At 35.3% G+C, this 13,929-nt stretch overlaps 1 protein-coding gene across 11 annotated transcripts in view; it reads left to right on the top strand.

The window, feature by feature from the left end:
- Positions 1–13,929, top strand: part of VAV3 (vav guanine nucleotide exchange factor 3) — a 394,020-nt gene that overhangs the window by 340,303 nt on the left and 39,788 nt on the right. For all 11 annotated transcript variants that reach the window (XR_007063680.1, XM_017000053.2, NM_006113.5 and 8 more), the window contains one exon: positions 7,246–7,311. Coding sequence is in view for 10 of the 11 variants with exons in the window: in XM_017000053.2 (XP_016855542.1) it covers positions 7,246–7,311 (66 nt within the window). In the remaining variant the exon portion in view is untranslated. The remainder of the gene's footprint in view (positions 1–7,245; positions 7,312–13,929) is intronic.

Below are 13,929 nucleotides of genomic sequence, written 5' to 3'. Positions count from 1 at the left end.
TCCTTGAAGATTGTGTCCACGTCTATTCATTTTTAATTCCTTAGTATGTAACACAGTGCCTTGTGCATATTAGGAAGTCAATAAACTTTTCTTTAAAGCACTACTTTTGCTTTTAGTAGAAAAGTAACATTCTTTAAAAATATCTCATGCTGCCATGAGCATTTAGTGTTTATGGTGCTATGACTCAGAATATTTTCTTTGTAATTAGTTATGATTAAAATTGCCAAGGATAGAAAAACATTCATTTGTTGTCTGCCAGTATTAGAAAAGCAAATTTCTTTGGACCTTTGTTAAGCCTGGATTGGTTTTGGGTTATATGGCTTCTCACCAAGATATGGTAGAACCTGATTCTTTCCAGATTTTGTATTGAGTAACAACGTGGGTTTTGGCTTACCTACATGTAGACTGGTTTTTGTTGCCAAATTTTTTTTTTCTATCATTAAAGGTATTCTCTTGTTTCTTTCACACACACACACACACACACACACACACACACACACACAGTCATAAGACTATAATTTAGGATTGTATCATGTACATCCCACCCAGTGAGACTTTGGAGAAAAAACATTAAGACACCCATGATCAGAGGATTCCCTTTCTTGCTGCAGAAACACAGGGACCTCACCAAATACATTTTTGAGTAACAGGAGAAAGACTCGGTGAAGTCTCATTCCAGTGTTGTATTCATCTCAAATCTACAGCTTATGGCTTTTAGTGGGTTTTTTTTCTCAGTATACATTTCACAACTTTTAATTTTTAAGGGTTTTTGACACTTCCATCTGCCAAAATTTCAGAGATGTAATAAACACAATTTTGTGTGAATTGGAAAAACCATCAACTATAATTGAAGCCTTTGTCATGTATTTTGATGACTCGATGCAATTATAAACCCATACAAATTGAAGGTAAATTTAATTTCAGAGATCCTAGACCAAGGTATGAGTTTCTTAGACTTATTCAGAATTCTAAGCCAATGACAGCCACTTTACAAGAGAACTATGCCAGAGATAGGGACATTTTGTACTGTCTTTTGAACAACCTCATGAACTTTCACTGTTTATACATTGGACAAAAGTTAAGGATCATATCCCCTTTTGACTAAGAAATAACAAAAATGCATAGCTTATGGTTTTGTTCTTTTGTATGTGTGCATGAGTATTTTGGAATTAATGGTAGTGGCCATCATATAACCATATGCAGGTAGGCTTGGCAAGTTTTCAAAGTGTTCACTGATAGAAAATGCATATCTTACTCATCATATAGGAAGCAATTAACAATGAAAGAATATGTGTACTGCCAAGAAAGCATTTGAGTAAAGGAATGGACTGTCAGGAATATAATAGTTCCCGTTCAGGTGAAAGTGATATGAGAGTCTATGTTCCTTGCGGCTTAGCAAGTTTACTGAAATATAAAGAGTGGTAGGATTGTACATAGGATTAGACATTTCTATTTTAATAACACATGAATGGGCCAAATAAAAAAGGAAAACTTAGAAATGAAGTAAGTGATTGACAATAATCAAGAAACAATATTATAGATAAAATAAAACAAGTATTTAGCATTTGCAAAGTACTTTCATGCATATTAATTCTTTGATCCTTGTAACAACCTAGTGAGGGATGTGTGGCAGATCTTGTCATCATCCCTGTTTTACCACTGAAACTTGCAAAAGGTTGCACATCTTTTTATAGCAGAGCTAGAAATAGAACAAGCTCTTCTGATGACACATCCTATGATACTGCCTTTGTGTGTTTTCCAAGAACTATCCCTTATGTATATGTAACTGATGATGGTTACAATATGGCTGCAGCTGTGATTAAAAATCTCTCCTTACCAAAGGCTAGTTTCTGACTCGGTCTTTTCCTGATCACTTCCTCTTTGCTGGTTTTTTTCTTTTATTGCATGTCCTCACAAACTTCATCAGAATAATGCCAAAAACAGTGTGTTCATCTTTCCATCCATCCTTCCTTCCTTCCATCTGCCCATCCAATCAATAAACTAATTTGTGTATACAGTGTATTCACCTATATTCCCATTATTCATGGCCATGCTGTACATCTTCTTTCCCCAAACACTCAACCTGTGTATTTCTGACAGCGGGAAGTGACTGGGCAGGGTGACAGTCGCTCTGACCATTACCCATGTGTGATAAATTGCTTAGTAATCTCCACAGCACCATCGTGCATACATTGAGAGTGTTTAGGGCATTGTAACTTGGGAGAATTTCCAATCGTTCATAAATAACCATTAATCTGTCCCTTTTACATTCAGCTTTCCACATCTGTTTCAAATTGTTCAGTGCTATTCCAGGAGTGCATTAAGGCTCCAATCCAGGTAGTATTAAGGGGATAAATGAGCCACAGGGAAGAGACACTGTATTTTTCTCAAAGCAGTTCTTTCTCCTTTTTACAGAGTTAGGAGCCAAGCAATTTATGATTAAGATTTTCAGAAGATATGTTTTGTCATTTTAAGCCATCCTTGTCTGTGGGTTTAAAAATGAGGTTTTAGCTCTAGCATCCTGGCATACCTTAATGTATTTCTCTGTACAGGTAGATTGTGAATATCATTTCTACCAGCAAACCTGAAGTAGTTTTAATTCATTATGATTCAGTGTGGATTCTTATTGAAGAAAAATGAAGAATAGTTAAAACCTAAGGTCAGTTAGAAATAAATAAGTGCCAGAGTATGCATTTATGTTTGTGATGTTCGGGAATGTCAGAAGAAGTTGTCAATAATTTTAGTTTGATACATTTTCTACAGGAAAAAAATTGCTTTTCAGGAAAAAGGCATTGTTATTTTATGAATTATAATTTAATATTATGTTGCTTTATGTCTGCTCCAGATAATTGAATGAAAATTATACAGGTGCATTTTTTTCTTACCATATAGTACCCATAAGATATTTTCTCATGTGCTTTCCAAAGAATGTATTTTCATAAGAATGACCCAACCTGTACTGTTAGATTTACAAAAGTCTCATCACATAGTACAGAGATGCCCTGCAGAATAAATGCATATAAAGATAGCACCGTATGGTATATCAGATGACACCTAAGTATGAGAGAGGAATGTTTTCAAGTTGACCTTGAAGATGTTCAGGGACTTACAGAACAAATACGAGGCAGGAGGATAACTAAAAGATGATTCCCTATCTTTGGCATTTGTAATACTCATAAAAGGGATGACAAGCTGATTATCTGACCCAGAATAAAATGCCCACAGAGTAATGTAAAGAAGAAGGAAATTCAGTTGCATGTCTCTCACCAAGGTTAGTAAAAACCTCATATCATCACATAAAGTGCACTAAATCATTGGATTTGAGGTTGGTCTATGTCATAGTTACAGTCTGCAATTTCATCCATGCATAGGGGATTGACAGCTGCTCCACCCATTAGTATTAATGAATTACCAACGTACATCCCACACACATCCACCAAGAAACCAAAGAAAGCCCTCCTACACACTACTTTGTTTTGAATTCTCCAAATGTTGTAGGATAGCTATCTTTTTAATAAGTAGAAGTTATTATATAGCTAAAGCTGATAAGACTAGGAATTAGTAAGTAATTGTAACTTTATTCATACGTTAAAATAGGTTAAATTATCTCTCACCTCTCTGTCATCTACAGAATGCCTATGACCATTTAAGAAATGGGACCTGAACTGCTAGGGCATTTTATTAAGGAAAAAACAATTCAGAATGACATTGGCAGCCTGTTTAGTGAAATTTTTTCCCTCCTGAAGGACCTCCAAGAGTGTCCTTTAAAAGAGGTAAAAAAAAAAAAATGAGTTTTGATATGATGACCATGTGTACTTGTTTACCCAGAACAGTTCAGTTTATACCATTTGTTCTGGCATAGTTATTAGTCACTACCCATTTACTCTCAAAAGGTCCTGATTTGAATGGAAAATTATATGTTCATCTAGTTTTAGAGCATTTCTTATACAACCACGGTCTCTTCCTCTACCCCTCTAGTATGATTTCAGTTCCCATTTATGTCTTTTGTGTGGAACACCTGTTTCTACAAAGGAAGAAAGAAACAACTATGCCAGTCCATACACTTTCATCAGCTAAAAAATTCATCTCTTTTTCCTACTCTTTTATTCTTTGGGTTCTCATCCTCTTTTCTCTGCTTTGTGACATTGCACTCCCCAACGCTGTCCTTATAGAATATGTCAGGGACAGGTCAAAGAATGTCACTATATGAATATTTTCCTATAGAAACAGTCAGCTTAATCCTTGTCAGTGCTTGTCTGTGTGAACAAAAAAAAAGTGACATATAGTCATGAGTTACTTAATGACAGTGATACATACTAATAAATGCATCATTGTGTAAATGTTATGGAGTGTAGTTATACAAACCTAGATAGTGTAGCCTACTACACACCTAGGCTACGTGTATAGCCTCTTGCTGCCAGGCTACAAACCTGTATCGCATGTTACTGCACTGAATATTGTAGGTAGTTATAACATTTGTGTATCTAAACATAGAAAAAGTACAGTAAAAGTATGGTATTATAATCTTATGGGAGCACCATCATTATAAAGTTAGTCATTGACTGACATGTCATCATGTGGCACATAGCTTTATTTTATTCTTTTTAATGAAGAGGAATTTAGGGCCATGCTCCTCATTGACAGGGAACTATCAGATTGAGTTATATCTCCCCTTAGAAACATTTATTAAGGGCCCACTCTGTGTCTGACATCTTGTTATACAAAAATGACTGAGAGATTATCCCTTATGCCAAGGAACTCACAGTCTATTAATAGAGAAGACCATGTTGAACAATAATTACATATACTACTAGGAGTGAATACTACTAAAGCACTACTACTTCATGTATCACCAAGGGTATGGAAAGGTGTGCATGGGATTCAATCTGGGATCTGCTCCTTGGGGAAGAGATGACAGAGTAGGTAATGTGTGAACTGAGTTTTGGAGGAGGAACAGAATGAAGGTATCAATTTACATGAGGGGCTCTGCATCAGGTTTGCTCTGAGAAAGTAGATAGCATTACATTGGCCAACATACACTGTCACAAAATGTCACTTATTCTCCTGTACACTGCATTCTATAGATTAAAGCCTTTTGTTGTTGTTCTGAAGAAGAGTGGAAGTTGACAGTTTACTATTTATAATAGCCATAATTTTCCAATTTGTTGATACACCTTCAAATACACTTTGGAAAGACCATTACAGAGCTCTCTCTTTGGCCTTTCCTCGCAAAATAGACTTATTTCCTTTATGTACTCTCAAAGGTCTTGTTTGTTTTTTAAAGCATTCTTATTCTTTTCTCTTCTGAGCTTAATCAGTGTATGGTTCCTACCACACTCCTTTATATTTTGCACTCAGGTAGCATTGTAGTGTGTTTATATATAAAGGTCTGGCTAGTGGTATAGTCCCAAATACCATACTTATTTACTTGTATCTCACTGCCTGCTGAAAACAAACCATTATAGAGCACTTGATAAACACAGCTGAATGAAACAAACAGTTCACCCAACCTTGTAGTTACTGCTACCATCCCTCCCAGGTCTCTGATTCCTCTCTCTCCTGATCGTTTCTTTCTGCCTTGTTGTTTCACTAGTTTCTGTAAATTCTGTCTTCTATCTTCTCTCTACATTTTTTCCAAGTGATGCAGCCTTGCTCCAATTTTCAGATTCCTCTCTAAGTCATCTAAGTCTGTGTTGTATGGATGGATTCTCTAGTCACCTCCTACCTCCATTCTTCATACTTTTCCCAGTCTTTAACTCAGAAACAGATCATCTTCTCTTCCCATATCTAATCCACTGGCCAGTTCAGCAGACTTAGTTAAATAGTGTCTTCAGCATGTGTTTCTCTCCCTCCAATTCCTTTCCTTACCATGGGATCAGTTTCCTTGTGATATTCTCAACTCCGAAAGTGAGACCCATCTAGGAGCCATATTCCACATTGGTGCAAGTTTAAGTCTTCTAAAACATACAACACCTTTAAAGAAATGCCATCACCAATGACAGAATTCAGCTATCACTGTCAAATTGTTTCCTAACTACTTTTTATATTTAAGTCCCACTGTCTTTCTTCATGAGTCTCTATTATGCTTGTACAGAGAGGCAGTGCAGAGCCCTGAAGTTAGAACATCTGAGTTTGATTTATGGCTCTGTACTTGTTAGCTCTGTGACCATGGGCAGATTATTTACTTTCTCTGTGTCTCATTTTCCTCATCTGTAATGTGGGGATAGTAATTGGACCTACCATAAAGGATCATAGCAAGGATTAAATAAAACACTCAGAGCAGTGTCTAGCACATATTAAGGATTCAATAAGTATTAGTATTTTTGCAGTTTAATGATAAAAACCACAATTACTTTTGCACCAACCTAATAGAGTCCTATTCTCCAAAATCTTACGGTCTTCTTCTGTTAATAAGTATCCTATTTCTTTTTCTTAAATCTGAAAATCATCCAAAACTTACATTTCACTGTTTTCTATTTTCACATCTTGAAATCTCATCTTGCTAGAAAGACATTCTCATGTCTTCTCTTAGACCGGTAGTATCCATTTATATGGAATTCATAATTATATGCCTTCACAAAATTCATATGATCTGCTTATGCCAATGAATATAAAGGTGAAAGATAGAAACTGCTGTTATCTCTCTATCGTAGGTGTCCCCAACCCCCAGACTGTGGCCTGTTAGGAACTGGGCCACACAGCAGGAGGTGAGCTGCCAATGAGCAAGCGTTACTACCTGAGTTCCCCCTCCTGTCAAATCAGTGGCGGCATTAGATTCTCATAGGAGCGCAGACTTGACTGTGAACTGCGCATGTGAGGGATCTAGGTTGCACTTCCTTTATGAGAGTCTAATGCCTGAGGTGGAACAGTTTCCTCCCGAAACCACCTGCCACGCCCCCAGCACCCACCTCACCTCACCCCACATCCCTGGGGCCAAAAACGTTGGTGTCCACTGTGCTATAGGATTGAGAGATATAAAGCTAACAAAATTGAAGGGTAGATTGAAAAATAAACTTGAATTATTTTATGATCATGACCTGAAACCACATGTAAAGTTGAACAACCAAGAAAACTATCTCTGCTTTTGCTTCCTTTTCTGATCCACAGTAAGTTAATGCTCAGGACTGGATATAACACATAAGGAATTCTAAGGATCCTAAGTAACAGTGCTATGTATGGGGCATCATGGGGTTATCATTTGTGGTAAATTTGTTCTCAACACTGGCATTTTTTTTTTTTCCTTAGGGCAGAAATTTAGCATCTGGAGAGGTTGGATTTTTTCCAAGTGATGCAGTCAAGCCTTGCCCATGTGTAAGTATTAGTATCTTAATTTTCTCTTGCTTCATTTTGTTTTTGATCCTGTGATTAATTGTGCAAAAATCTACAAAGGATACTGGCCAGGTCAGTTATTAATTTTATTAATATTTTCTGGAAGAATCATTATTTTCAACATCATTATAGTTCTATTGTCAGAATATGTTTTTTAATATTAAGAAAATATATAGAAGAGGCAAATTTTACTTAGTAGAATTTATATAACTAAGTAGTCTAAAAGGTTTTAGAAGAAATAAACCACAGCTACAAATTAGACGCATTGTACAGGTTTCCCCTTTCCCACTGAACTGAGAATGGTACGGTCTGCCTCCAGTCACTTGGGTTACAGGGCGATATTACACTTCAGCTGATGTCTTTGAAAGCTTGCTAGAAAATGAAAAGTCCACAAATTTTTCAATCAAATGTCTAAATATATTTTCTATACTTTAGTGTGACATTACTTTTTATATAATGTCATAATGGAATTTTCTGAAAATATAAAACACAGATAAAAGGAGAATAAATGAACATTTCCTCAATTAATATTACAGGTGAATGTAACCTAAAATGTACTCCCTGGTGTGTTATGATACTGATAAACTTCTGTTTAGGGTAACATGATTTTAGTATCATAATATGGTATTATGGGTGACGTTTTCCACACAACTTTTTAATTTATTGACTCCAAAGTAAATGAAATTTCTTTACTAATACGATGGAGATGATTGCCTGAAGGGGAAAAACTCTCCTTAATCTATCGTGCTTGCTATATTTCAGTAGTTACTGAATTTCCAAACTGGACATTCTTTTTACTGTTAGAAACATGAGAATCTGCCATCCTTGGCTCTAGAATGTGCCCTATAGGATAATTTACTCCACTCATTCAAGCTTAATTACTTTCAAAATCAAAGAGAATAGAAAAGCGTCTGTTACTCTGTTGGTTTTGTGATCTAATATCACATTTGTTTAACTTTTATTTTAGGTTTAGGGGTACATGTGCAGGTTTATTATTTGGGTAAATTGCATGTCATGGGGGTTTGGTGTACAGATTATTGTGTCACTCAGTTTCTAAGCATAGTACCTGATAGGTAGTGTTTAGATCCTCACCCTCCTCCCACCTTCCACCCTCAAGGAGGCCCCTGGAATCTGTTGTTCCCTTCTCATGTCCATGTATACTCAATTTTAACTTTCACTTATAAATGAGAACATTGTTACTTGCTTTTCCGTTCCTGTGTTAGTTCACTCATGATAATGGCCTCCAGCTCCACCCATGCTGCTGCAAAGGGCATGATCTTGTTTCTTTTTATGGCTGTATAGTATTCCATGGTGTATATGTACCATATTTTCTTTATCCTGAAACATATGGGCATTTAGATTGATTCCATGTTTGTGAATATTGCTGGGATGAACATAAGCATGCATACCTTTATTTGTAGAACAATTTATATTTCTTTGGGTATATACCCAGTAATGGGATTGCTGGCTCAAAAGGTAATTCTGCTTTAAGTTCCTTGAGAAATTGTCACACTGCTTTCCACAAAGGCTGAATTACTTTACATTCCCACCAGCAGTGTATAAGCATTCCCTTTTCTCTGCAACCTTGTCAGCATCTGTTATTTTTTTACTTTTTAATAAAAGCCATTCTTACTGATGTGACATGGTATCTCATTGTGGTTTCAATTTGTATTTCTTTAATGATTAGTAAAATTGAGCATTTTTTCAAATTTTTTTTGGCCAATTATATGTATGTCTTCTTTCCAAAAGTGTCTGTTCATGTTATTTGCCCACTTTTTAATGGAGTTGTTTTTTGGCTTGTTAATTTATTTACATTTTTTATAGATGCTGGATATTAGACCTTTGTCAGATGCATAGTTTACAAATATTGTCTCCCATTCTCTATGTTGCCTGTTTACTCTCTTGATAGTTTCTTTTGCTGTGCAGAAGCCCTTTAGTTTAATTAGGTCCCATTTGTCAATTTTTGTTTTGTTGCAGTTGCTTTTGGCATCTTAGTCATTAAATCTTTGCTGGGTCCTATGTCAAGAATGGTATTTCCTAGGTTATCCTTCAGGGGTTTTATAGCTTTAGGATTTACATTTGTCTTCAATCCATCTCGAGCTGATTTTTGTATATCATATAAGGAAGGGGTTCACCTTCAGTCCTGCATATGGCTAGCCAGTTATCCCAGCATCATTTATCAAATGTTTAGCTGCCACTTACAAGTGAGAACGTGTTATTTGCTTTTCCTTTCCTGTGTTAATTCACGTATGATAATGGCCTGCAGCTCCATCCATGTTGCTGCAAAGGACATAATCTTGTTTCTCCCCTTTACTGAACAGGGAATCTTATCCCCATTGCCTGTTTTTGTCAGCTTTGTCAAAGATCAGATGGTTAGGTGTGTGGCATTATTTCTGGGCTCTTTATTCTGTTTCATTGGTCTATAATGTTACATATTTTTTGTCTTATATTACATTACAGTCTTGAAAGATTATTGAAGTTTGATACCACTCTTATTTAATTAGATAAGCTAAAATGATTCTCTATCTAGTTTTTGGACTTTGTATGAACAAGATTCAGGCTTCCTATCTGTAAAGTAGTGATGTATATCTGTAGGCAGGTGGCAGGATATTATACATTCTAACATTAAGAAGTTTGGGAACCTAAAGACATCAAATCAAGAATATTAAGCATTGAATGTACCATGTACTGTTTTCTGTTTACATCCTCTTGAATAAGGCATAAAGATGAGCACTTGAAGTTTTGTTTTAGGGATAGTCTCGCACAAAGTAGGCATTTAATAAATTACTGTTGAATGAATGAACAAAGGAGTGAAAAAGCAAATGCAAGTCCCTAGCTGTATATAGAACATTAGCAATGGTAGATACTAATTAAATCAGCCTGTAGAATCATATTGAATGATATTTGCTGACCCAAGAAGTGGCTAGAAGGAGAAATATGTTCAGAAATTTTAAGATGACAGAGAAGTAGAGTAACTTATAATTGTAAGCAAGACTACTAAATATGGTTGTTTTATATTAGTAGCTACTTTAAATTTTACTGCTTAATGAAATTATAGATTTTTTTTTTAATTATAGGGCAAGTTAAGTGAAGATAAATAGAGGGGAATTTGAAGAGGAGGGGATAGATTGAGGGAGTTTAGAAAATGGTATTGCTTTTGATTCTGGGATATATTGTTTATCGGGGTCCATGAGTAGTGCTGAATGTTCTATTCTGGGCTTAAAATTTATTTTCCTGCATTTGCTACATCCATCTCCTCAAAAATTCTGATATAGGCAGGTAGAAACCAAGAACTGAGGAAAACACAGGCGGTTCATAAATGGGTCAACTTCATTTCTAGCAATATGGCAACTAGAGACAAAGCCTGGAACTGCAGCACAATGCAAACTTGGGTATATCCCCGATTCCAGGAGCTCTTGGTGGATGAACTAGGAGAAAACCCATCCCACTGATGATGATATGCCTACTTTGGTATTGGTTCAGGATTGGAAAGAAAAAAGGAAAGCAGTATCCCCTGAGAATTTCTAATCTTAAATCCAAAACCATCCAGATGAAGGGCTGGAATTCATACCAGCTCTACTACCTAAATAATTCTAAGCTAGAAGTGTAGTTTAAAATTATTCCAGATTATTCCACTGCACTCCAGTCTGGGTGACAGAGCGAGACTCCGTCTCAAATAAAAAATAAAAATTAAAAAAATTATTCCACATTGATTATTCTCCCAATGAAAATTCAAATGCTGTCTGGATTGGAGCCTCTTTGCACACATTCCTCAAAGGATTTTTAACATAAAGTCCTAGGCAACATACACTCACAATTTGAAATCATTAAATCAATCCAGAAACAAACCACCTTATGCCAAGATCAGCAGAAACAATAAAATATATAATTAAATCCACAAATATAGCAGATATTTGAATTTTAGATACTAAATTCAAAATTTTATACTTAACATGGTTTAAGAAATTAAAGGGAACAAAAATCTAAGAGGAAAGGAAGACACTAATTGGGTATATATGAAAATGATTCAGGTATAGTAATTGAAATAAAAGCCTTAATGGACATATTACATGGCATATCAGACACAGTTGTGTAGGAAATTGAGGAGAAATCTGAAGAAATTGCTCAAGGAGCAGTTAAGAGAGATTAAGAAGTTAAAAATAAAACAGAAAATGGAGTGATGAGATACAAATACATTTAATAGAAGGAGAGAATAGAGATAATTGTAGAAAAGCAATATTCAAATAAACAATGCCTGAGAACTTTCCAGATTCTATAATAAAACTAATCTTCAGAGTCAAGAAGCATATATTAAAATTAATCAACACCTGGATGCATTGTAATGAAACCAGAAGACATTAAAGACAAATATTAAAACTGAGAGAAAAGACAGATTATCTATAAAAGGTTGATTATTAGACCCAGCTAACAACAGAAATAATAGAAGCAACAAGAGTTTCCACTTCTGGTAACTGTTGAATAGCTCCTATTGGACCAATACTCCCACACATAACTATAACTTGTGGACAAAATATCAAAACAAAACTATCTGAAGGCACTGCCCAGGAGAAGATTGACACTTGGAAAAAGGAATGGCACTAGGATGAGTTTCTTTGTTTTATGGCTAGCTCAAAGGCAGGCACTGGATTGTACCATGCAGGGTAGCTAAAATTCAGATAGAAACCTTATGGTATTTCTGGCTTAAAGAACCAGATTATGGAGTGAGTTTAAAGCAGTCTCAGCAGCTGGAAAAGGAGGTAGGAAGTCTTAAAAAGAGTCAGAGAGAGGAAACCTCAAATTCTGTGTATAAACTTTAAGGAAAGCCAGGTTCTTTTTTGGAACATAAGAAAATACAGAGCCTCTACAGTTTATCATTCATTCAAATTGTCCAAGATACAATATAAAATTACTCAGTATGCAAAGGAGCAGGAAAATGTGAACCATACTTAACAGAAAAGAGAATGAAGGGAGATCAACCCTGTGATTTCCTGTTTGATGACTTAGGAAAAGATTTTAAAAGCAGCTGTTATCATGGTGCTCAAGGACACAAAGGAAAACATGTTCATAATGAATGAACAGAAAACCTCAAAAGAGAAATAGGAACTACAAAAGAACCAAGTAGAGATTGTACAGTGTGAAACTACAATGTCTGAATTAATATCTGAAACAATAAGAATATGTTAAAAGTTGTGAGAGAAAATTACTATCCTCTTAGAAATTTCTCAAAAAAAGGATGAAATCGTGATAGTTTATTCAAACAAACACAAACTTCACTTCTAAGTGTGCCATCTAGCTTCATAAGGTATACTTCAGGAAGAAGCACACATAAATAGACACATATATATTTATTTATATATATATATATAGACCAATATAAATATTTCTGTATGTATGTGTGTGTGTGTATATATATATATATAATTTTGTACGGATACTATATTCTCAATAAAATGTTTTTTAAAAACTACATGTTCATAGCAGAAGTTTTGCAGTGTTAATGGACTATGGTGCTGGGAGAAAATGGCATTAGAGAAAAATAGTAACCATATACTCAAAGATGAAAAAGTTCCCAAAAGGAAATTAACTGTAATCTTAAATATGAAGTACTTGCCAGACAAGGACCCATAGTACACAGAAGAAAGTGCAGAGGGCCTATGACTGATGGAAAAGGATAGGACCCCACCTGAGTAATATGGATCATGGCTGGGAAGGTAGTCCTGGATCTTCACATGTCAGAATGCACCCACTGAAGAGAGAAAAGCTCTAGTGGGACACCAGGGTGGAACAGCCTCAGTTACCTGTTCTGTTTTAGAATCTTCTGTCACTGTTTCCTTTTTTGGATCTCCAGCCTTTTTAACAGCCAAAGGAGTCCACAGCCAGAATATTTTGAAATTCTTTACTCTCCTCCTTCCTGTCTCCTTTTTTTTGTTTGTTTGTTTGTTTTTTTTTTTTGGTTCTCTATGGAAAGCTTGGTTTAAGAATAAATATATACATTATACTTTTAAAGAACACAGGGAGAGGGAAAGAGGAAATATTTTTCGCATCACATTTCAGAAGCCATGTATATCTTGTCATCAAAGGGTGAACTATTGAAGATCAGTTTATTTGTGAAAGCAAAGTTATGTAAGAAACTATTTGAATGATTAGAATGGGTATAATTTACCTTCAACATTAATTGCTGTTTATTAGGATTTTACAAAGTTGTGATTTTAAAAATGTAATCCATAGGATAAAAATATTTGAATATTAATAATCAAAGAAATGTTCTGACTAGAAAGATGATTTTTGATACAGTTTGAGTATTCCTCATTTGAAAATCTGACATCTGAAATGCTCTAAAGTCCAAACTTTTTAAGCACTGACATGATGCTCAAAGGAAATGCTCATTGGAGCACATACGATTTTAGATTTTTGGATTAGGGATGTGGAATGTAATTCAAATATTCTAATTTTTTTAAATCCAAAATGTGAAACATCTCTAGTCCCAAGGATTGCAGATAAGGGATGCTCAACCTGTAGATAACTCTTAACCTGGAAGGGCAAAATAGTAACAGCACATTATGAAGACCAGCATGGCTAGAGACATGTTCACATTGGCTA

This window comes from Homo sapiens, chromosome 1 (assembly GCF_000001405.40).
Source record: "Homo sapiens chromosome 1, GRCh38.p14 Primary Assembly".
NCBI classification, from domain to species: domain Eukaryota; kingdom Metazoa; phylum Chordata; class Mammalia; order Primates; family Hominidae; genus Homo; species Homo sapiens.
This window is presented reverse-complemented; position numbering and strand designations above follow the sequence as displayed.